We start from the raw sequence: 24,359 nt of genomic DNA, 5'->3' as shown, positions 1-24,359 counted from the left end.
CAGAGTGAGACAATAAATAAGTAAATAAAAATGGGCCAGAAGGCAGTGGGTCAGGCCAGATAGAATTTCTTTCTGTCACACAGAAGTGTCCAGAGCAAGGGAGGTGGCCAGGGAAGGTACAGGTGTGCAGCTGTGTCCCAGGGATGACCCGGGGACCCAGGTTCCTGTGTCCCTCTGCCCTCCAAAGGTTGTCACCCCAATGTCTGTGATCAAATGTGGCTCACTTCCCTGTTCTAATTGTGGGAGGAGGGACGCAGAGGAGGGAGGGGAGGCAACCAGATTCCTTGCAAGGATGTGAGCCAGACATTGCACATGCTGCGTGGGTTCCAATCACATGGCCTTTCCCACCTGGAAGGAAGGCCGGGGGCTGTAGTCCCCAGTGGGAGGCTAGGTCCCCTTCTAAAACGTGGGAGGCTTCGTGACTGAATAGCAAGAAAGCAGAATGGTCCTGGGGCCCATTAGCAGTTCTCCTCTCCATGTTCCCCCTCTAATCCATTGCCTTCCCTCTCCTCTAACTCACTCTCCTCCTTTCCCAGGGATTCCCCTGAAACCAATGTTGGCCCATCCCACCCGGGGCATCAGCGAGGTCCTGAAACGCTTTGAGGAGGCAGCTTTCACCTGCGAATACAAATATGACGGGCAGAGGGCACAGGTATGGGGAGTGGGACATGTCCCTTCCACAGACAGGAAAACGTCAAAGAGCAGGGGTGTGGGGTCACTGAGGCCTGAGCTTCAAGCCGGCCTGCGCCACAGACTGCCGAGCCCTCGCTCATCTCTCTGGGCTTCAGCATCCACCTCCATGCAGTGAGTGTGTTCTTTTTTTTTTTTTTTTTTTTTTTTTTTGAGACAGAGTCTCACTCTGTCATCCAGGCTGGAGTGCATTGGCATGATCTTGGCTCACTGTAACCTCCACCTCCTGGCTTCAAGTGATTCTCCTGCCTCAGCCTCCCAAGTAGCTGGGACTACAGGCGCCCGCTACCGTGCCCGGCTAATTTTTTGTATTTTTAGTAGAGACGAGGTTTCACCATGTTGGCCAAGATGGTCTCGATCTCTTGACCTCATGATCCACCCACCTCAGCCTCCCAAAGTGCTGGGATTACAGGCATGAACCATCGTGCCTGGCCTCTAGGGTGTGGTCTTAACTACCTCACCAGCTTATCCGAAGCTACAATCCTCCAGAGTCCTGACCGATGATAGTGGGAGCTCATGAAACGTGGGCTCCGCTGATGCTGCTGGTGGGTGTGTTCATTTTAACAGCCGTTCTGGGAGGTGCCTACATGACCCCTTCATGCCGTGACGTGCATGTGTGTCCTGTGATCCAGGGCCTCAGGCGTCCTTGGTCCTGGGGTCTGTAAGAATGTGTTGTGTCTCTTCTGTCCTGGCAAGTGTGGGGCCTTCTCACCTGGGGATAGGTAAGCAGGCAAAGTGGGTGGGAGCCACAGGGCTCGGGGCAGTTACAGGAAGTGGACCCCTGAGGAGACCAGCCTGGCCAACATGGTGAAACCCCATCTCTACTAAAACCACAAAAATGAGCCAGTGTGGTGGCGTGTGCCTGTAGTCCCAGCTACTCGGGAGGCTGAGGCAGGAGAATTGCTTGAACCCAGGAGGCAGAGGGTGCAGTGAGCCAAGATCGTGCCACTACACTACAGCCTCCACGATAAGAGTGAGACTCCATCTTTTAAAAAAAAAAAAAAAAAAAGGGTGGATCCAACAGACACAGGATCAGAGATGGATCTCCAAAATAGTGTTGAGAAAAAAGACACAAGATGATTTACGATAGTGACAATGATTTCTTGACAACTGTTCCTGGAAATAATAACAAACATATAAGATGCTATATATGCCGCCCTGCTCAAGGGCTGTGACCGGACTGTCTTAAAATAAATAGACATAGAGGCTGGGCGCAGTGGCTCACGCCTGTAATCCCAGCACTTTGGGAGGCTAAGGTGGGCGGATCACCTGAGGTCGAAAGTTCAAGACCAGCCTGGCTCTACTAAAAATACAAAAATTAGCCAGGTGTGGTGGTGGGCGCCTGTAATCCCAGCTCCTTGGGAGGCTGAGGCGGAAGGCTCTCTTGAACCCGGGAGGTGGAGGTTGCATTGAGCAGAGATTGCACCACTGCTCTCCAGCCTGGGCGAGACTCCGCCTCAAAAAAAAATCAGAATGAGATCTAGAGCATAATGACATTTAAACAAATCAGCACCCACATGCAGCAAGGTGCATGTGCCTACATGGGGAGAGGTGTAGGGATTGGAAATGAAGAAGAAAATGATGGTAGGGCCTTCCAGAGCAGGGCTGGGAGGTGCTGTTGGAACTGAGGAGATGATTCGCTCAAGTCTCTGCACCAGTTCCTCCTCCAGAGCTTCCAGAACCTTCTACCAGTGCAGGTGGGGTCAGAAGAGAAAGCTGAGGCCACATGAGGGGACTCAGCTGATTTCCCCTCCCTTCTCCCATCGTGACAGATCCACGCCCTGGAAGGCGGGGAGGTGAAGATCTTCAGCAGGAATCAGGAAGACAACACTGGGAAGTACCCGGACATCATCAGCCGCATCCCCAAGGTGGGCGTCTGCCACACACTTGCACTCTGCCAGGGTCTGTGGTCAGGGGTGCAAAGGCCTGAGGCCCATCTAGGCCAGTGTGGCACAGTGCGGGGTTTATTGGGAGGAGATCAGGTTGCGTTTGGCTGCAAATGACAGAGCACTCAGTCCTGCGTGGTGTAAGCCCATATGATTTTTTCTCACATCTAGAGGTGGGCACCCCAGCACCGACTTGGCTGAGCACTGATGTCCCCCTGAACCAAGCTTATCGCTACCTCTATCCCCTGCTGTCCTTGGCTGGTTGGCTTTTAGTGCCAATGCTTGTCCCCTTAGAGTTTCCCAAACAGATGTCATTCTTCCAGACAGAAAGAGGGAAAAGGGATTCTAGCTTGAGTTAACACTTTCCTGGACACCTCCCACCCACAACCCCTCCCCCGCCGTGGACTGCAGCTGGGAGTCACTGTCCAGCACTGGGTTCCATGGCCACCCTAGTGCAACAAAGCCTCGGAAAGCCAGAGTCTAACTCTGCAGCCTCTCCAGCCAGGAACGCGGGGAGGAGGAGTCAGGACGAGTTTGGAGGGGGCCAGCCTGTGGATAGGCCCCAAGCCTCAGAAATAGCAGCTCAGAGTCATACAGGGCTGGGCCTCACAGGCCCCAGAGTTGGGGACTTCTCTGCACCCAGTAGGGGTCTCGTGCCTGTTCGAGGAGTCCCCTATCAAAGAGCCTTTCTCTTTGCCTGCCCCTAATTAAATAGGAAATAAGTTATTTAAGAAAGCAGGGGGCACGGTGCCCATCATTCTGCCTGTTAGAGACAGTGACAGAGAGAGGCACAGTTCAGTGCACGTGTTAGGGGAGCTCCTGTTCCGTGCCAAGCACTGTTCTTTAAATCAATTTTCTTAAGATGTAATTTCCCTAAAAGTTAGTGATTTTCAGTGTGCACTATGCTGTTTGATGAGTTTTGAAAAGTTCATACACCCAAGTAACCGACACCCCAATGAATGTATAAAATATTTCCACATTCTCATCATTCTAACATATTTCCGCTGGGCGCAGTGGCCCACGCCTGTAATCCCAGCACTTTGGGAGGCTGAGGCGGGTGGATCACCTGAGGTCAGGAGTTCAAGACCAGCCTGGCTGACATGGTGAAATCCCATCTCTACTAAAAATACAAAAATTAGCTGGGTGTGGTGGCACGCACCTGTAGTCCCAGCTACTTGGGAGGCTGAGGCACGAGAATCGTTTGTACCCAGGAGGCGGAGGTTGCAGTGAGCTGAGATCGGGCCACTGTACTCTAGCCTGGGTGACAGTAAGACTCCATCTCAAAAAAATAAAAATAAAAAATCAAATATTTCCTTGTGTCCCTGGCCAAGCAAGGCCCCCTCCTCTGTCCAACACCATGCATCCACCAGAGGCAACCCCAGGTCTGCTTTTTGGTCGCCACAGGTTGGTTTTACCTGTTCTAGAGCTTCCTGTTGGTGGTATAATATGGCACTAGTCTCTTGCATCTGGCTGCTTTTGCTCATTCGTTCAGCAAGTATTTACTGGGCATCTGCTCCGAGCTAGGCCCCATGCTGGAGGCTGGGAGTGTAACAGGCCTGCCATGGTCTCTGCCCTCACTGAGCTCACAGCCCAGCAGAGCAGGCAGACCTTCACCAGAGAGTCCTGCAGCTGGCTCTGTAAATTATATGTGGAGATCCGGGCTCCACAGGAAAGGACCAGCATTCTGTGAGCCTATGTAACAAACAGGCCTGGCCGGTGACAGTGGCTCCTGTAATCCCAGCACTTTGGGAGGGCAAGGCGGGTGAATCACTTGAGGTTAGGAGTTCGAGACCAGCCTGGCCAACATGGTGAAACCCTGACTACTAAAAATACAGAAATTAGCTGGATGTGGTGGCGTGCTCTTGTAGTCCCAGCTACTTGGGAGGCTGAGGCAGGAGAATCACTTGAACGTGGGAGGCAGAGGCTGCACTGAGCGGAGATTGCACCACTGCACGCCAGGCTGGACAACAGTGGGAGACTGTCTCAAAAAAGAAAAGAGGCCAGGCGTGGTGGCTCACGCCTATAATCCCAGCACTTTGGGAGGCCAAAGCAGGCAGATCACTTGCGGTCAGGAGTTCGAGACCAGCCTGGCCAACATGGTGAAACCGTTTCTACTAAAATACAAAATTTATCCAGGCATGGTGGCATGTGCCTGTAATCCCAGCTACTCGGGAGGCTGAGGCAGGAGAATTGCTTGAGCCTGGGAGGCAGAGGTTGCAGTGAGCCAAGATCGCACCACTGCACTGCAGCCTGGGCGACAGAGCTAGACTCTGACTCAAAAAGAAATAGGTGTGGCTTAGACTTGGTGTCAGGGAAGCTACCTGGCTCCAGGATACAACATGAATGCTGCCCCCGGCTTGGGCAACAGTGTTCCCTTGAGGGAAAAGAAGGCTTGCCAGTGGAGGAGACAGACAGGGGCAGGGGTTCTAGAGGGAACGGCACATGCAAAGGCCCAGTAGTGGAAGAGGCATTGCCCACTTATTTGAGAAACAGAGAGGCTCACGTGCTGGGGTGAAGAGAGGCTCAGGGGGCCAGGTGAGGCGAGGGACGACCCAGGCTGACCCGGGAGAGTCCCCCCAGCTTTGGGGAATCATGGGGATGGTTTTTAGCAGGGAGGTGCTGTGATCGGATTTGGGGCTTGCCAGTGTCACCCTGGCTGCTATGGGGAAGCTGGATTGGAGGGGATCGGTGCAGGACAGGGAAGCCCAGTAGGCGAGGCTGAGCAGGGAGTTGGTGGGAAGTGGACGGCTTAGGAAATCATCAGGTTCACTGAGGAACTGAATGTGGGTGACAGGAGGAGGGAGATGACAAGAGCTCCTAGGTTTCCAGCTTGTGAGACCAAATATTACATTCTCAGAGACATTAGTTTCTGTCTCCTCTTGGTGGGGAATAAAAGAAAAGCATCTGTGTGCACCTGCCTCTTTGTTAGTGCATCTTGAGAGCTGCAGAAGGAAAAGGGAATTTATCTCCCCGTGTTTGTCTTTCCACCTCATCTTCCACCTCTCTCAGGCCCTGGGTCTCTCCCTTCACTTTTCAGATTAAACTCCCATCGGTCACATCCTTCATCCTGGACACCGAAGCCGTGGCTTGGGACCGGGAAAAGAAGCAGATCCAGCCATTCCAAGTGCTCACCACCCGCAAACGCAAGGTAGCATCACCCGCTCCACTGCCTGCCAAGGCCCCGTACTTCCTCATCTTCCACCCAGTCCTGGCTGTGGGTCCTGCCCAGTGCCCAGAAGGGCAGAGTGTCAGTCTGGATGCACTTCTCTCAGCCTTCTGCAGAATGGCTGCCACAGCTCCAGCCATCGCATTCTCATCCCAGCATCCCAAGTAGGAAGAGGGGAAGGGCCCTTTTCGGGCATCTCTGTTGTTTTACTATGAAAGAAGATCTGTTCTGGAAAACCCCACAACCTGCACCCCACAGGTTTCCCCTTTTCCATCTCATTGGCCAGAACTGTGCCATGTCACTGCCATTAGCTGCAGAAAAGTCTAGGAGAGCAAATATCTGGTGAAGGGGAATGAGGTTGTCGGAATTAGCTGAGAGCCGTTAACGATCCAGCACCTGGAGCCAGCAGCATGGCCGCCCTCACAGATGGGCAGCCAGTTAGGTGGGGCGAGAGGGAGACCGGTAGATGAATGCTGTCGGCCTCAGGCACAGTGCCCCGTCTCACCTTCCTGCACTCACGAACTCCGTTGTGCCCCAACCCAGGAGGTGGATGCGTCTGAGATCCAGGTGCAGGTGTGTTTGTACGCCTTCGACCTCATCTACCTCAATGGAGAGGTGAGTTCCAGCTTCCTGTCCAGGGGCAGCTGAGGGGTGACGGGGTGGGGTGTGAGCCTGGCAGCTGCCCCTCTGACTTCCATTTCCGACTCTGCCACTTCACATGGCCAGGAAGCCACACTTGGGCAGCAGTTCTCAAAGTGTGGTCTGAGGACCCCTGAGGTTCCTTAAGATTCTTTCAAGGACATCTTCAAGGTCCCTCTCTTTCCAACTCCACATTGGCGTGAGGTGGATCTTCCTCAGGTCCTGCAACGAGAAGAGTGTGTCGTAGAAGCACGCAGGAGAATCCAGCCTCTGTTAAGCCAGATATTAGAGGATTTGCAAAAGTGTAAAATAATGCCTCTAGTCTCACCACTTTCTCAAAACTTGGGTTATGTTTCATCAAAATATGTTATTTAGAGCCAGGCACTGTGGTTCACGCCTGTAATCAGAGCACTTTGGGAGGTGGGAGGATCGCTTGAGCCCAGTAGTTCAAGACCAGCCTGGGCAATATAGAAAAGACCTTGTGTCTATTCAAAAAAAAAAAAAAAATTAATATTATTTGGGTGAGCATATTGGATTTATTTTTTTAATTTCTCATTTTAAATTTCTAATAGGTGTAACTATAATATTATGTAACCCACATGAACAAGCTCTATGGAGTGAGTCTTGAATTTTTTTTTTTTTTTTTGAGATAAGAGTCTTGCTCAGTCACCCAGGCTGGAGTGCAGTGGTGAGATCTCAGCTCACTACAACTGCCTCCTCCCAGGTTCAAGTGATTCTCCTGCCTCAGCCTCCCAAGTAGCTGGGATTACAGATGTGCACCACCAGGTCCAGCTAATTTTTGTATTTTTAGTAGAGACGGGGTTTCACCATGTTGGCCAGGCTGGTCTCGAACTCTTGACCTCAGGTGATCTGCCCACCTTGGCCTCCTGAAGTGCTGGGATTACAGGCGTGAACCACCACGCCTGGCCTTGAATAATTTTTAAGAGTGTTAAAGAGGCCTCAAGACAACAGTTTGAGAACAGCTTGCTTTAGGATGTCAGGAATCTGGAGCCAGGCCACATGCCGTCATATCCCAGCCCTAACCTTCCTAGCGGCATGGCTACAGATGAATGACTCAGCCTCTCTGTGTGTCAGTTTCTTGATCTACAGTAAGGAGCTAACAGTGGCAGGTGCTTTATCTGTTAGGGTGAGGGCTAAACAGTGGGATAGGGGTGTGGAACTCAGTAGTTAGTACATGGAAGCTCTCAAAAAAAATTAGCTGCAATCATCAATATCCCAGATAATCTTTTTTTTTTTTTTTTTTTGAGATGGAGTCTCACTCTGTTGCCCAGGCTGGAGTGCAGTGGCATGATCTCAGCTCACTGCAACCTCCGCCTCCTGGGGTCAAGCGATTCCCCTGCCTCAGCCTCCCGAGTAGCTGGGATTACAGGCGTGCACCACCACGCCTGGCGAATTTTTTGTATTTTAGTAGAGACGGTGTTTCACCATGTTGGCCAGGATGGTCTTGATCTCCTGACATCGTGATCTGCCCACCTCAGCCTCCCAAAGTGCTGGGATTTACAGGCGTGAGCCACCACGCCCGGCCCATCCCAGATGATCATCTGGTAGATGAACCACGATCTTGTGGTAACTTGGTCACTTCTGTCTTATTAATGGATATTGATGATCAATCATCTTTTCAGGTTTGTTGGCCGCGTGCATTTGTTCCGTGACTTGCCTCCGCGTGTCTTTTGCCTGCCTGTCTGGTGGGTTCTCACTCATGTCTTCCTGGTCTGTAAACGTTTTTTCTCCGTTAGGCCCATCTGTCCTTCGCCGGGACAGGTGGAGCTGGTAGTGGTTCTAATGCAGAGATGCCTTTGATGCTCAAACCCCCAATTTCATGATGCAGACTGATGTTTCACTACATGAAATTACTGTAGGAAGACAGTCAGAGTCTGATTTTTGTTTCCCGTGATGTCTGGGGAGAGGAAAGTCAAGTATCAGGTGCTTTCCAAACACTGGATACTTTGTGGGTTTTTCTGCAGGATTTGATCATCCCTGCTCAGCTGGTTCCTTTGTCTCCCATGAGCATTTCAAATATTTCTTCTCATTCCTTCAAATATTCCTTCTTTAAAATTTATTGATGGCCTATTTTGTTGTATAGGACTTGTTTGAGCTATTACTTTTACAAATTTTTTTATTAGTAGTAGTTGAACATGGATGAACTATTTTTATGTAGTCAAGTATATCATTTTTTTTCTGTTTAATGTGTCCTCATCCCCATGATTTTTTTTTTTTTTTTGAGACACAGTCTCTGTCGCCCAGGCTGGAGTGCAGTGGTGTGATCTTGGCTCACTGCAGCCTCCGCCTCTGGCGTTCAAGTGATTCTCCTGCGTCAGCCTCCCAAGTAGCTGGGATTACAGGCACCCACCACCACACCCAGCTAATTTGTGCATTTTTAGTAGAGTCGGGGTTTCACCATGTTGGCCAGGCTGATGTTGAACTCCTGACCTCAGGTGATCCACCCACCTCCGCTTTCCAAAGCGCTGAGATTACAGGCATGAGCCACTGCAGTAGCCTACATTTCTAATTTTAGAGCTTCTAGTAGCCATATTAAAAGGTAAGAAGAAACAGATAAAATCATATTTTCTTTAATCCAATGTCTAAGATATTATCCTTTCAATGTGTGATGAATATAAGAAATTATTAACATGGAATTTTACACTCTTTTCTTGGATTAAGTCTTCTAAAGCCAGTGACTGTTTTGCCCTTGGCACATCTCCGATTGAACTTGCTACATTTCAAGGGCTCAATTGCTACACATGGCTGGTGGCGGCTACACTGGGTAGCACGGGCTCAGCTGATCTTCCCAGACGTGCCCTGAGTAGGTATTGCTGCATTTTACAGATGGGAGCTCTGAGGTACACAGAGGGAAACGCTTGCCTGAAGTCACCAGCTAGGAAGCGTGTGGCTGGGATGTAAACCTGAAATGGTCTGACCCCAGATAAATTGTACCTGCTTAACCCTTGTGGCTCCTCTCTCTCATCTTTTCATACAAAATGTTCATGAGCACAATTTTACAACAGAAAAAAGCTGTCCATGGAAAACACGTGAATGTCCCCCTGGAGGGCAAGTGGTGAAGGTAGTTTAACATCATCACAGAGAAGCCCTGAGCAAAGGGCAGACCAGAAACACTGCGCGTGGGTGGGGACCGATCGAACAAAAGAGAAAAGCAATTCAAAGCCACAAGACGGATTAGTCAGTGTTGACATGTGGAGACAACTGCTTTGTCCTTTGTTTAAAAACACTCAGATCACCTCCTTCCTCTCTGACACACACTCTTGCAAGGTCCAGCTGGAACTGATTTCAAAGCAAAACACAAAACTGTAAATGTGCTGGAAAAACTCAGTGAAAACTTTTGGAATTCTAAGGAAAGGAGGACTTTTTTTTTTTTTTTTAATTATCTTGGGGATGAGGCTGGATGCAGTGGCTCACGCCTGTAATCCCAACACTTTGGGAGGCTGAGGTGGGTGGATCTCTTGTGATGTGCACCTGTAGTCCCAGCTACTCGGGAGGCCGACGCAAGACAGTCGCTTGAATTCAGGAGGCGGAGGCTGCAGTCAGCCAAGATCGCACCACCGCACTCCAGCCTGGGCGACAGAGCGAGATTCCGTCTCAAAAAAACAAAAACAAAAAACAAAACTGATGAGATGCCCGTAAAGTGTTAATTCAAGCTCCAGCAAGGCCGCAGCCCCCCGTCTGATGCTCCTGAAGTCACCGACTCTAAATGGTGTCGGGCCCTCTTGCCAGTGACTAGCCCCATGCTTTAAGCTCTCAGAATCCTTCTGACATCAGGGTTCTTCCCTCTCAAGGCTTTCCACGAACCCTGTCACTAGTTGTGACCCGCACATGTCCTGTTCGCCTCACATTTAGGGCTTATTGTCTTTATTCTCACAAAGATGTCTCATCTCTCTTCTCCCTGCCGGCCCTGCAGTCCCTGGTACGTGAGCCCCTTTCCCGGCGCCGGCAGCTGCTCCGGGAGAACTTTGTGGAGACAGAGGGCGAGTTTGTCTTCGCCACCTCCCTGGACACCAAGGACATCGAGCAGATCGCCGAGTTCCTGGAGCAGTCAGTGAAAGGTGAGGGTGCTCACTTTTCTCTCCTGAGGTCTGCAGCTTGCGCTGACCCCGGCCTCCCAGCCTGTCCCCAGTCCTGGACCGTTTGACCAGAATCCTGCCTGCTCCGGCGCTTGTGAGCCAGGGCTTCCCAAGGACCACGCTTCTGTGTCTCCCTCAGACTCCTGCGAGGGGCTGATGGTGAAGACCCTGGATGTTGATGCCACCTACGAGATCGCCAAGAGATCGCACAACTGGCTCAAGGTGATTCTCGACCCCCAACTGGGCCTTCTCCACCCCGGGTCTGGAGGTCTGTCCCAGCTAGGCAGTGGATTTCGAGCCTCCACTGTGTACCCTGTCTGAGCTCAGGGCCCCTTTTCACAATCCCACCCCAGCCCCCTGCTGCAACTGAGTTCAGACCTTCTCCCTGCTGCGAGCCCTTGCTCACGAGTTCTGATGGAGAACAGCCCCAGCCCAAGCACCGCACATCCCACGAGGTGCAGCGTGATGAGGTGTCTCTCTCCTGAGCCTGCCGCCCGTGTCGGGCCAGGCTCTTGGGCAGGAATTAAGCCAGGACATGAATAAGAGAAAGTCAGGCAGGAGTGGGCGCCATGAAGAAAAGCAAGTCAGCTCCGGGCCAGCAAGGCGGGGCTGGGAGTGCCCCGGATGATCAGGAAGAGTCTTTCCCAAAGTGAGGGACAGAGCACTAGGGAGGAAAACCCCCGGTGCAGAGACCCTGAGGGAGGAGCAGCCTCTGCGTGTGCAGGGAGCAAGGGCAGGCGAGGCGGGAGGTGAGCTCAGAGTGGGGAGCAGGCCCCAGATGAGGCAGCACCTGGGGCCACTGTGAGATAAAACTGGATCTTCCTCTTGAAGGTTTCAGGAAGTCAGTGGGGGTTCCGTGCCGGGAGTCACAGGTTGTCATTGTGCGAAGCTCCTGGGGTTTCCCCTCGAGTGGAGGACGGGTGTGTTGAGGGCCAGCGAGCAGGAGCCTGTCATCAGTAAGAGTTGATGGATGTTTGAGTGGAGAGGGGCAGTGAGGGGTGGACAAGGGGACTGGAGCGGGAGGCATTGTGGCACTGAGCCGGCCAGGCCTGCTGACTAGCTCTTCCTGTGTACTTATGTCTGTCTGTGGCTGGTTTCCCTCCAGCACAGACCTTTCCTGTCTCAGGAAATAGCACTGTTGTGCCCCCAGGGCTGAGCTTCTGCCTGGCACATGGTTAGCACTTAGTGAACGTTTCTGAACGAATGGGAAAATGCTCTCCCTTTGGAGGAGTGGCCAGAGTGAGTTGGCCACGTCTCTGTCCTGAGGGAAAGACGGCGGCAAGGCTGACTCCTGAGGTCCCATCGATCCCGCCTGCGTTTCCCATTTGTTCTTATTTATTTATTTATTTATTTTAAGACGGAGTTTCACTCTCATTGCCCAGGCTGGAGTGCAATGGCACGATCTTGGCTCACTGCAACCTCCGCCTCCCGGGTTCAAGCGATTCCCCTGCCTCAGCCTCCCAAGTAGCTGGGATTACAGGCACACGCCACCACGCCCGGCTAATTTTGTATTTTTAATAGAGACGGGGTTTCTCCATGTTGGTCAGACTGGTCTCGAACTCCCGACCTCAGGTGATCCACCCGCCTCGGCCTCCCAAAATGCTGGGATTACAGGCATGAGCCACCGTGCCCGGCCCCATTTGTTCTTATTTAAACCTAGAAACCCTTCCCATGTCCAGTCTCTTCCCAGGGGCCATCCTTGGGGTTCCTTCTGGAAGTTCCCTTCAGACTTACTTCTAGTCCCTCCTCAGTCCACTGAGGAGCCCCTCCCCAGCAGTGAGGGCCCCGCCTTGGGCGCTCCCCCTTCTCATCTCTTGCCTCCCCTTCTCCCAGCTGAAGAAGGACTACCTTGATGGCGTGGGTGACACCCTGGACCTGGTGGTGATCGGCGCCTACCTGGGCCGGGGGAAGCGGGCCGGCCGGTACGGGGGCTTCCTGCTGGCCTCCTACGACGAGGACAGTGAGGAGCTGCAGGCCATATGCAAGGTCCTGGGGAACTGGGGCTGATGGCAGAAGCAGGAGGGAAGGAGATTAGACTCCCGGGGGTATTTCCTATTGCACAACCCAGACCGAGGGGTGCTCACATCCCCCTGTGAAGGATCCGTTCTCCCCAGTTTTTATTTACTTTTTCTGGTTCTATGAGCAACTCTTGCTTCATATAGAAAAACAGGCTGGGATAGAAAGATGTCAGGAATGTGTGTCAGTGAGAGATTGAGATTAGCTACAAATAGTGGTGGCTCACATAAGAAAAGAATTTTTTTGTTATGAAATGAGAAGTGTGGAGGGGGCAGTCTGATGCCATTAGGGATTCAGGTTCCTCCTCTCCCCACATTTTTTTTTGTCCCCACATTTTTTTTTTCTGCCATGTGCCTCTGGCCTCATCATCACAATGTGGCTGCAGGAGTTCCAGCCCTCATGGCCATGCCTGCTCCACGCACCAGGGAAGAGCAAAGGGGGTTGGACCCTGAGTCAGCCTCAGCCAGTGAACACCTTCTGCTCAAGTTCTGTTGCTCATCACTTTGCTCCATGGCTCACCCCTAGCTGCAAGGAATTCTGGGAAATGTAAAGTGATTTACTTTTTTTCAAGTTAAAGTTTTTCTTAAAGCTGTGCACATTTTGGACTAGATTTTCTTACGTATTTCCTATATTCCCCTCTCCAACAAATTTGGGTCTTTTGCCACAGAAACAGAACAAAATATCACCTAGAATCGTACCACCCAGAGACACGCAGTAGTGACATTTGAGGGAATGTTTTATTTACATTTTTGCAAAGTTGTGATCCTTCTCTATGAGTAATTTTCTTTTCTGCCTTTTTACCCTGGAAGTACTTTGTTTTCAGTGTTGTATATGCCCTTAAGCAATATGGCAACAGGACCTGAATGCCCGCACAAGAGTTTTCAAGTGCTGTGCCCCATAGCACATAGTGCTGTGTCCTGAACCAGCTCCCCGTGGCTGTGTGGGGAAGTTGTTGCCGGCTTTGTTCTGATGGGTAATGTGATTACTTAGTGTCCGTTAACCTAAACGATCAGTGACAGAAGTGACTTTTATAAATCACAAATGTTTTGGCCACCAATCTACATTGTCACCATTTTGCATTATTTAGAATAGATTTTTAAATGAGCTATTGTCAGGACAAAAGGCAAAAAGAATCCTTAAGACTCTCAATGCAAAAGGGGCTTTCCAGGTGACGTTTATATTGGTGATTATTGCCCACTTGCTGCGTATCTGCCAGCATCCAGCATTACTGCTAATTTTTAGCCTTTCCTATTTTGGTAGGTGAAAGAAGCTCTTGGCAGTGTTAACATTGGAGATGGGCTGGGCATGGCCACTCACGCCTGTAATCCCAGCACTTTGGGAGGCTGAGGTGGGAGGATCACTTGAGCCCAGGAGTTCGGGACCAGCCTGGGCAACATAGTGAGACCCCACCTCTACAAAAACTTTTTTAAAAAATTAGCCAGGCGTGGTGGTGCATGCCTGTGGTCCCAGCTACTTGGGAGGCTGAGGCAGGAGGATTGCTTGAGCCCAGGAGGTGGAGGTTGCAGTGAGCCAAGATTGCACCACTGCACTCCAGCCTGGATAACAGAGCTACACCCTGTCTCAAAAAAAAAAAAAAAAAAAAAAAAAAAGACTGGAAGTGAGGACAGCCAGTTACTGGGCAGTGAGGATGTGGGTGAGCATAAGGGAGTGACTTCCTGGGGCCAGGGAGACAGTGGAAGCAGCAAGAGTTTCTCCATAAAGCAGAAGACAGGGAGTGGTTCACGGCAGGCCTGCTGGGAGAACATTCCCACCCGGGAGTCTCTGGATGGATGCTCCGCACCCCCAGCTCCCTACTTCCCTGGTTTTCTGTGGATACTGCGTAGACCAGAGTGGGGTGGGGGCCATGAGTGTACACAGCTTTAGATGGCAGGAGCAAGTGCTGGGCCTGTGGCTGGCTGAGCCTCTGACCTCCCGCTTCCTCCCTGCAGCTTGGAACTGGCTTCAGTGATGAGGAGCTGGAGGAGCATCACCAGAGCCTCAAGGTGAGCCATGGCGGCTGCGCCTCAGCCTCCACCCCTCTCCCCCCTGCCCCTGACAGCACAGTCCTTCCATGCAGGGCTCTTGGCTTCCACCATCTTGGGGCTCCAGGTGTGGGCAGGAGGGCAGCAGGCAGTGGAGCTGGCTTTGGAGTCCAGCATCTCCAGGTTCATGTCTCAGCACTGCCGGCTACTAGCTGGTGACCCTGCTCAAGCAGCCTCACCTCCCCAAGCCCTGTGCCTCATTCACACCAGGGGTTAGCCAAAGGACACAGCAGGTGCCATAGCTGCTCCTTGTGAAGTGCCTGTGAGCCCTGATCAATGTGAATGAATGTTGTCATGGTCACAGGCATTTCAGGCATGAGTGTCTGTCCTACATATTGGATCTGTATTAGTTTATTTTCATACTCATACTGCTATGAAGAAATAACCCAAGACTTGCCGGGCGTGGTGGCGCATGCCTGTGGTCCCAGCTACTTGGGAGGCTGAGGCAGAAGAATTGCTTGAACCCAGGATGCAGAGGTTGCAGTGAGCTGAAATCATGCCATTGCACTCCAGCCTGGGAAACAGAGTGAGACTCTGTCTCAAAAAAAAAAAAAAAAAAAAAAGGATCATTTATAAAGAGAGGTTTCCTGGACTCACAGTTCCACACGGCTGGGGAGGCCTCACAGTCATGGCAGAAGGCGAAAGAGGAGCAAAGGCACATCTTACATGGCGCCAGGCAAGAGAGCGTGTGCAGGGGAACTGCCCTTTATAAAGCCGTCAGATCTCGTGAGACTTCCTCACTATCACGAGAACAGCACGGGAAAAACCTGCCCCCATCGTTCAGTTACCTCCCACCAGGTCCCTCCACGACACATGGGGATTTTGGGAGCTATGATTCAAGACAAGATGTGGGTGGGGACACACGGACCCTGACACCATCTCTGTCCCACTCTTTGGTTCTCTCTCTCCATTGCCCTCTCTCTCTACATCTCTGTCCCTGTCCCACTGTGTCTCTGTCTCCTTCCTCCAGGTCTCTGGCCCTTTCTCTGCCTCTTTTTGTCTTTAATGTCCTGCCTCAGCCCCCAGGGCCTTTCATTTCTTTCCATCTCCCATTCCTCCCAACTCCCACCTTTCTCAACTTTTTACTTCAAGGGGGTCTTGTTTCTTTTCCCTTCTTTCACTTTCTGTTTCTCTTTCTATTTCTGTTTACTTCAAGGGGGTGTCTTGTTTCTTTTCCCTTATTTCACTTCCTATTTCTGTTTACTTCAAGGGGGTGCCTGTTTTTTTCCCTTCCTCCCTCTCCCCAGCCCTCCAACACTTGGCCTTGACTTTGAGATTCCAGACCCTCTGTTCCTCTCTTCCTCTGCTCACTGCAGGCGCTGGTGCTGCCCAGCCCACGCCCTTACGTGCGGATAGATGGCGCTGTGATTCCCGACCACTGGCTGGACCCCAGCGCTGTGTGGGAGGTGAAGTGCGCTGACCTCTCCCTCTCTCCCATCTACCCTGCTGCGCGGGGCCTGGTGAGTGGCAGAGGACCTGGCCGTGGCCCTGTGTGGGATTCTGGGCGGGCACACAGAGAGCAGAGTAGGGAGGGGACCTTGGCTCACATCTGCTCTTCCAGGTAAGGATCAGGAAGATGAGCTTGCATTTTATTTGAGTGTCAGATAAAAAGATCAAAACATTTTTTCTTTAAAAATGGGCCGGGCATGGGGGCTCGTGCCTGTAATCCCAGCACTTTGGGAGACCGAGGCAGGCAGATCACTTGAGGTCAGGAGTTCAAGGCCAGCCTGGCCAACATGGTGAAACCCCATCTCTACCAAAAATACAAAAATTAGCCATGTGTGATGGCGGGTGCCTGTAGTCCCAGCTACCCAGGAGGCTGAGGCAGGAGAATCGCTTGAACCTGGGAGGCGGAGGTTGCAGTGAGCCGAGATCACACCACTGTACTCCATCCTGGGTGACAAAGCAAGACTCTGTCTCAAAAAAAGAAAAGAAAATTCTTTTCTTAAATAAAAGAATTCCCAGGGCAAGCACAGTGGCTCATGCCTGTAATCCCAGCACTTTGGGAGGCCGAGGCAGGCAGATCACTTGAGGTCAGGAGTTCAAGACCAGCCTGACCAACACGGTGAAACCCCACCTCTACCAAAAAATAGAAAAATTAGCTGGGTATGGTGACCCGTGCCTGTAGAGACGGGGTTTCACCATGTTGACTAGGCTGGTCACAAACACCTGGCCTCAATCCGCCCACCTCGGCCTCCCAAAGTGCTGGGATTACAGGTGTGGGCCACCATGCCCAGCCAAGAACTTACATTTTTGATCTAATTTTTAAAAATGTTTTACCATGCTGCACGTTAGACAGCCAGGGACCCTTAGTAACAAGGCACAGGAGCCGGTGTGTATCCAGCCCTTGCTGTGCAGTGGGCACTGTGTGGTCATCAGCGTGTCACTCATAGACACTCATTTAATCCTCTCAAAATCCGTAAGACGTAGTGACACAAACATCTCCATTTTACGGTGAGGATGTAGAGCCCTAGAGAGCCTGAGTAACTGCCCCTGCATCACGCGGCTCCTGAGAGTTGGGAGCTGGGATTGGAATCCCACAGTCAGATTCTAGAACCCATACCCTGGCGCCGTAGTTCAGCCTCTCAGCCCGAATTACCGTCATTATCGTAACGGCTGTAGCAGGTGGCATTTTTTTTTTTTTTTTTTTGAGTTGGAGTCTCGCTCTGTCACCCAGGCTGGAGTACAGTGGCGCAATCTCAGCTCACTGCAAGCTCCCCACCTCCCGGATTCACGCCATTCTCCTGCCTCAGCTTCCTGAGTAGCTGGGACTACAGGCGCCCGCCACCACACCTGGCTAATTTCTTTTTGTATTTTTAGTAGAGGCGGGGTTTCACCGTGTTAGCCAGGATAGTCTCCATCTCCTGACCTCGTGATCCACCCGCCTCGGCCTCCCAAAGTGCTGGGATTACAGGGGTGAGCCACCGCACCCGGCCAACAGGCAGCATTTCTTGAGCACTTACTGTGCCCGGGTACTGTTCCAAGCACTTTGTCAACTTGTTTAATCCTTATGACAACCCATCGTTCGGCCCCGTCATGTGGATCAGGAAACAGTCCAGAGTGGAGGAGGGAGGAGACTGAGCAGGGGGTCGCTGGGGCTGGACCGCAGGAGTCTCCATCCCGCTTCCGCAGGTGGATAGTGACAAGGGCATCTCCCTTCGCTTCCCTCGGTTTATTCGAGTCCGTGAAGACAAGCAGCCGGAGCAGGCCACCACCAGTGCTCAGGTGAGGTCCTGGGAAGCAGGGGTGGGCCGCCCAGCTGCTTGGCCCTACCAGCTTTTTAGCGTGGTGGCCTCTCTGGAACCTTGTGGAGGTGGGAGCAGCCAGGGAGCTTCTGACCACCCCGTCCCACCCTCTCTCCGCAGGTGGCCTGTTTGTACCGGAAGCAAAGTCAGATTCAGAACCAACAAGGCGAGGACTCAGGCTCTGACCCTGAAGATACCTACTAAGCCCTCGCCCTCCTAGGGCCTGGGTACAGGGCATGAGTTGGACGGACCCCAGGGTTATTATTGCCTTTGCTTTTTAGCAAATCTGCTGTGGCAGGCTGTGGATTTTGAGAGTCAGGGGAGGGGTGTGTGTGTGAGGGGGTGGCTTACTCCGGAGTCTGGGATTCATCCCGTCATTTCTTTCAATAAATAATTATTGGATAGCTACTTTGTGACAGGGTCTGTGCTGGGCTCTGGGGGCAAAGCTGTCATGGGTGTCACCTGCATAGCATGTAGCCATGTAGCCATGGCCTAGGAACTGCCAGAGCCAGTGCCAGCCATGGAACTGCCTGCAGTGGTGGGCGTCTTCTCTATCTGCTCTGTGCAGTGTGACCGCCACTGGCCACCTGCAATGCCCGAGCCCTTGACAGGTGGCCAGCATGACAGAGGATGCGAATTTGTTTTGTTTTGTTTTGTTTTGATTTTGTTTTGAGACAGAGTCTCGCTCTGTTGCCCAGGCTGGAGTGCGATGATGAGATCTCAGCTCACTGCAACCTCCACCTTCCGGGTTCAAGTGATTCTCTTGCCTCAGCCTCCCATGTAGCTGGGATTACAGGAATGTGACACCACGCCTGGCTAATTTTTGTATTTTTAGTAGAGATGGGGTTTCGCCATGTTGGCCAGGCTGATCTTGAACTCTTGGCCTCAAGCGATCCACCCTCCTCAGCCCCCCTAAGTGCTGGGATTACAGGCGTGAGCCACCACACCCAGCCATACCAAATATTTTATTTAATTGTATTGGACAGCAGTAGTCTAAAATCTTTACATACATATATTTTTTAACTTGTTTAACCTTCCAGCCATCCCACAGGGAGGCACCATCGTGAGCCCTGTTAAGGAAGACAAATGCAGTGTCTTAAAATAACACAGATGTATTCCCTAAACAGTTTCGGAGGTCAGAAGTTCAAAATCAGTTTTACTGGGCTAACATCAAAGTGGTGGCAGGGCCGGTTCCTTCTGGGAGCTCCAGGAGAGAAACTGTGTCCTTTTTCCAGCTTCCAGAGGCCACCTGGTTCCTAGGCTCATGGCTTCTTCCTCCGTCCTCAAAGCCAGCAGCATCGCACCTGCAAATCTCTCTCCTGAGGTCATCAGGTCACGTCCTCTCCTCCATCAGATCTCTGTTTCTCTCTTCCAAGTACTCAAGTGGTTACATTTAGGGCCCCCTGGATGATCCAGGATAATCTCATTTCAGGATCCTAACTCAATCCCAAAGTCCCTTTAGTCACATAAGATCACACATTCACAGAGGCCAGGCACAGTGGCTCACGCCTTGGGGAGGACTTGGGGAGGCTGAGGTGGGAGGATCACTTGAAGCCAGGAGTTCAAGACTAGCTTGTCCAACACAGCCAGACTTCATCTCCTCTAATTTTATTAATAAAATTAATAAAAATGTAAAAGGGCCAGGCGCGGTGGCTCACGCATGTAATCCCAGCACTTTGGGAGGCTGAGGCAGGTGGATCACCTGAGGTCAGGAGTTCGAGACCAGCCTGGCCAACATGGCAAAACCCCGTCTCTACTAAAAATACAAAAATTAGCTGGGCATGGTGGCGCGTGCCTGTAATCCCAGCTACTAGTGGGGTGAGGCAGGAGGATCACTTGAATCTGGGAGACAGGTTGCAGTGACCCGAGATCGTGCCACTGCATTCCAGCCTGGGCGACAGAGCGAGACTCCATCTCAAAAAAAAAAAAAAAATAGGTCACATCAAAGGTTTCAGCGATTAAGACCTGGATATCTATGGGGGCTGTTATTATTGCAGCCACCCCACATGGGATGATATGTTAGAGGAAAACCATCGGGAAATGGTCAGACAAGGCAAGCAGGATGCCTGGAACACCCACCCAGCCCTGGGCACCACGGGGCTGGCTTGGGGAAAACGGCTGCACGCGGAGCGGGGCCCAGGCTCGGGTCTTCCAGAGCAGGAGGCCTCTAACCCCGGGGCCCAGCGTGGAACAGGAGCTTCCGGGCATGAGAGTGTCAGGGTGTCCTGATACTCCCGCAGGGGGGACACAGGGCTCCCAGCTGTCCCCTGCCCCTCACACTCTGTTTCTGCCTCTCACATCTGCCCTCCCTCCTTCCCTTCTCTCTCATCAGGTTCCTCTGCCCTTGTCTCCCACCCGCCCTCTCTCCCCTTCCTTCTCTATCTGCGAGGCTTTGCTCTCTGCCGTGCAAGTCTGTGCCAGGCTTACTTTGCTGTCTGTCACTGTGACTCAGCCTCCCTGTCTCTCTTCCTGTGTCTCCATCATGGTCTCTTGTGCACACAATCTCTTGGGCATTCTGTTTCTATTTGTTGTAGCCCAAGAAGACAACATTGCCTTCCGAGTCTCCTTGGGGCTAGCAGTGGCCCTGTAGCCCTGTGTGGGCAGACCCAGGGGACATAAGCACAGGGGCTGCTGGGGACTTCTGGAGAAACATCTTTCCTGACCAAAAAGGACAGCCCTGGTTGTGGCAGCTCCTCCCCTCCTCCTGCCTTGACTAGAGATGATGGCTGGAGCCAAGTCACCACCTTGTAATGATGAGGAAAAAGAGTAACAAACTCTCCTGACGACCCTAAACCGGCGAACCTAGGGCAGCAGCTGCCTAACTGTGGGCTTTTGTTCATGGGAGTAGGGGAAGAATAAGCCCCAGGGCGATTATGCCACTCTAAAACATGGCTTTCAGCCGGGCACAGTGGCTCATGCCTGTCATCCCAGCACTTCGGGAGGCCGAGGCGGGCAGATCACCTGAGGTCGGGAGTTCAAGACCAGCCTGACCAACATGGAGAAACCCCGTCTCCACTAAAAATACAAAATTAGCCGGGCGTAGTGGCACATGCCTGTTACTCCCAGCTACTCAGGAGGTTGAGGCAGGAGAATCGCTTGAACCCGGGAGGAGGAGGTTGCAGTGAGCCGAGATCGAGCCATTGCACTCCAGCCTGGGCAACAAGAGCAAAACTCCGTCTCAAAAAAAAAAAAAAAAAAAAAAAAGACTTGTTTCTCATAGCTAAGAGTTCCTGATACAGCTCTGCCTTAAAGAACTGGCAAATTAGTGTGCATTTGTGTTTCAATTTCAAATAAAATGTTTAAGGCAAAAAAAAAAAGTAAATGTTGTATGTCAGGGGATCCCCACATTACTGGCTTTGTGTGGAGACCATGGTTCCTTTGGGCTTGGCTCTTCCTCCCTGCACCAGTGCAGGGCCCCAGGAACACATCTGCCACACACGGCCGCCATGTCCCTCTGCTGAAGCTAGTCAGGGTCATCCTCACTCCTCAGTGACCCTCATGATGGCTCCACCAGGTAGGTACTTTTATTCTCCCCATTTAACAGGTGAGGACACTGAGGGGCACAGGGATGTAAGTTACCTTCCCTAGGTCCACTATCTAGGAAGTGGTGGGCCAGGGTTTGGTCCATGCTGTCAGCTCCTTGACCCTGCATCTATAACTACTAACTATACTGTGGAGAGCCTCATGAGCTCCTGCGAGGTGTAGAACCTTATCCCGCAGGCGGGGCAGTGGCATGGTCAGGTCTAGGAGTGAAAAGATCCTGCGATGGTTGGAGTTGCGGGCACTGAAGAGGTGAGCCTGGCGTTAGGGGGAGCAGGGGAGACCATCTTCCCCCTGGTGAAATCCTGTTCTAAAATTGGTGATACTCCTGCCTTGGCCTCCCAAAGTGCTAGGATTATGGCCTCATATCTATTTTTAAAAAATAAGAATTCAAGCTGGGTGCGGTGGCTCGCAACTGTAATCCCAGCACTTTGGGAAGCCGAGGCAGGTGGATCACTTGAGTTCAGCAGTTCGAGCCAGCCTGGCCAACATGGTGAAACCCTGTCTCTACTAAAAATACAAAAATAATTAGCCGGGCGTGGTGGCAGATGCCTATGTTCCCAGCTACTCGGGAGGCTGAGGTAGGAGAATCGCTTGAACCCAGGAGACGGAGGTTGCAGTGAGCCGAGATTGCACCACTGCACACCAGCCTGGGCGACAAAGAGTAAGACTCCATCTCAAAAAAAAAAAAAAAAAATTCAAAACCCATCGAGTTGGGATGACGCTTAGTGCTGGGCTTCAGGAAGAGTAGGCAGGAGGGTAGTATGGGAGGTTTCTAGGAGCCACTCTTGGAAGCGGTGCTCCCCACAGATGCCCGATTGCACTGACTGGAACTCGGTCACATGACCACATAACTCGCTCACATGACCACACCTAGCTGCAAAGGTGCTGGGAAATGTGGTACCCTGTTGGGAGGCCACTTCTGGGCTTCAAACCTTCACTGTGAATGGAGCTCACAGGTTTTCTAAAAATGGACATTAAATGAACCAGAGTTGGCCCTAAGGATCTGGCTCACTGCAACCTCCACCTCCCAGGATGAAGCACCTGCCTCAGCCTCCCGAGTAGTAGCTGGGATTACAGGCACACGCCACCATACCGAGCTAATTTTTGTATTTTTAGTAGAGAAGGTGTTTCACCATGTTGGCCAGGCTGGTCTCGAACTCCTGACTTCACATGATCCGCCTGCCTCAGCCTCCCAAAGTGCTAGGATTACAGGCGTAAGCCACCACGCCTGGCCTCAATATTTCTTTTTCTGGGTATTTGAGTATGATATTATATATGATGGTTATTAGACAGCCAGATGCATAGGAGGATTAGCTAATCTGTTTTGAGGAATACTTATCTCCAATATAGTTATATAACGACAACATTCTTTTTTTGAATACTGGTCTCGGGTGCCTAATGACAGAAGGGTGACATCACTAAGGAAGCCTGGAAAGTCCCAGCCCTCCACGTGATCCCACGGATGAAAATAGCTCCGGGTGAGCTCTGGAACAGCTGAAAAAGCTGGAGCAACCAAGCAGGGCCTACAAGCCGAGGAGGGCTGTTTAAAGGCGCAGGGGCCATTTTACCTCCAGGTTGGCCCTGCTCAGGACCAGGAGGAAACACCTCCAGCCCGCGACCTCCTCCCACAGGGGGAAAAGGAAAGCAGGAGGACCACAGAAGCTTTGGCACCGAGGATCCCCGCAGTCTTCACCCGCGGAGATTCCGGCTGAAGGAGCTGTCCAGCGACTACACCGCTAAGCGCAGGGAGCCCAAGCCTCCGCACCGGATTCCGGAGCACAAGCTCCACCGCGCATGCGCACACGCCCCAGACCCAGGCTCAGGCAAGCCGTGGGGGCAGGGAGGGCTGTTTCATCCCGCTGGGGCGGCCATAACCAAGTACCAGGGATTGGGTGCAATTAAATAACAGGATTTCTTTTTCTTTTTTATTTTATTTTATTTTATTTATTTATTTATTTTTTTTTGAGACAGCATCTCGCTCTGTCGCCTAGGCTGGAGTGCAGTGACGCGATCTCGGCTCACGGCAAGCTCCGCCTCCGGGGTTCAAGCGATTCTCCTGCCTCAACCTCCCGAGTAGCTGGGATTACAGGCGCACACCACCACACCCGGCTAATTTTTGTATTTTTAGTAGAGATGGGGTTTCACCATGTTGGCCAGGCTGGTCTCAAACTCCTGAACTCGTGATCCACCCCACTCGGCCTTCCAAAGTGCTGGGATTACAGGCGTGAGCCACCGCGCCCGGCTAGGAATTTATTTTCTAACACTTCTGGAAGCTAGAAGTCCAAGATCAAGGTGTTGGCAGGGTTGGTTTCTCCTGAAGCCTCTTGCAGAGGCCCTAATCTCTCCTTATAAAACCAATCAGGCTGGGCGCGGTGGCTCACGCCTGTAATCCCAGCCCTTTGGGAAGACGAGGCGGGCGGATCCTGAGGTCAGGAGATCGAGATCATCCTGGCTAACACAGTGAAACCCCGTCTCAACTAAAAATACAAAAAATTAGCTGGGCGTGGTGGCGGGCGCCTGTAGTCCCAGCTACTCCGGAGGCTGAGGCAGGAGAATGGCGTGAGCCCGGAAGGCGGAGCTTGCAGTGAGCCGAGACTGCGCCACTGCACTCCAGCCTAGGGCACAAAGCGAGACTCCATCTCAAAAAAAAATAAAATAAAATAAACCAATCAAACCAAATTCCAGGCCACCCTCAGGACCCCACTTTAACTTAGTCACCCCTTTAAGAGCCTATGTCTGGCCGAGTGCGATGACTCATGCCTATAATCCCAGCGTTTTGGGAAGCCAAGGTGGAAAGCTCTCTTGAGCCTAGGAGTTCAAGACCAGCCTGGGTGACATAACAAGACCTGATCTCTACAAAACATAAAAAATTTAGCTGGAGATGGTAGCATGTACCTGCACTTCCAGCTACTCGGGAGGCTGAGGTGAGAGGCTCGCTTGAGCCCAGGAGGCTGAGGCTGCAGTGAGCCACGATCACACCACTGCACTCCAGCCTGGGTGACAAAGCAAGACCCTGTCTCAAAAAGCAAACAACG

The 24,359-nt window shown here is 51.9% G+C and overlaps 2 protein-coding genes across 20 annotated transcripts in view, besides 2 other annotated features; both read left to right on the top strand.

Annotated features, from left to right (window-relative positions):
- LIG1 (DNA ligase 1) overlaps window positions 1-18,189 on the top strand; it is a 54,900-nt gene extending 36,711 nt beyond the window's left edge. For 7 of the 13 annotated variants that reach the window (NR_135501.2, NM_001289063.2, NM_001320971.2 and 4 more), the window contains 11 exons: window positions 537-652; window positions 2,463-2,558; window positions 5,614-5,724; window positions 6,286-6,357; window positions 10,316-10,460; window positions 10,618-10,700; window positions 12,312-12,464; window positions 14,444-14,497; window positions 15,853-15,996; window positions 17,669-17,761; window positions 17,902-18,189. Coding sequence is in view for 7 of the 13 variants with exons in the window: in NM_001289063.2 (NP_001275992.1) it covers window positions 537-652; window positions 2,463-2,558; window positions 5,614-5,724; window positions 6,286-6,357; window positions 10,316-10,460; window positions 10,618-10,700; window positions 12,312-12,464; window positions 14,444-14,497; window positions 15,853-15,996; window positions 17,669-17,761; window positions 17,902-17,985 (1,151 nt within the window). In the remaining 6 variants the exon portion in view is untranslated. Of the gene's footprint in view, window positions 1-536; window positions 653-2,462; window positions 2,559-5,613; window positions 5,725-6,285; window positions 6,358-10,315; window positions 10,461-10,617; window positions 10,701-12,311; window positions 13,468-14,443; window positions 14,498-15,852; window positions 15,997-17,668; window positions 17,762-17,901 lie in introns of those variants that run through there. The other 6 variants (NR_135499.2, NR_135498.2, NR_135500.2 and 3 more) reach the window with 2 other exon arrangements.
- Window positions 11,478-11,667: a silencer, noted in NCBI's record as "silent region_10871". NCBI's record gives its function as "represses an Ori minimal core promoter by ATAC-STARR-seq in GM12878 lymphoblastoid cells {active_cell/tissue: GM12878}" and the evidence as "EXISTENCE:reporter gene assay evidence [ECO:0000049][PMID:35858748]".
- The window catches only part of PLA2G4C (phospholipase A2 group IVC), a 62,972-nt gene continuing 61,429 nt past the window's right edge, over window positions 22,817-24,359 (top strand). For all 7 annotated transcript variants that reach the window (NM_001159322.2, XM_011527431.4, NM_003706.3 and 4 more), the window contains exon 1: window positions 22,817-23,147. In NM_001159322.2, coding sequence (NP_001152794.1) covers window positions 23,119-23,147 — 29 coding nt within the window. In that variant the 5' untranslated portion in view covers window positions 22,817-23,118. The remainder of the gene's footprint in view (window positions 23,148-24,359) is intronic.
- Window positions 22,842-23,001: an enhancer, noted in NCBI's record as "active region_14871". NCBI's record gives its function as "activates an Ori minimal core promoter by ATAC-STARR-seq in GM12878 lymphoblastoid cells {active_cell/tissue: GM12878}" and the evidence as "EXISTENCE:reporter gene assay evidence [ECO:0000049][PMID:35858748]".

The sequence above is a fragment of the Homo sapiens genome, chromosome 19 (genome assembly GCF_000001405.40).
Source record: "Homo sapiens chromosome 19, GRCh38.p14 Primary Assembly".
NCBI classification, from domain to species: domain Eukaryota; kingdom Metazoa; phylum Chordata; class Mammalia; order Primates; family Hominidae; genus Homo; species Homo sapiens.
This window is presented reverse-complemented; position numbering and strand designations above follow the sequence as displayed.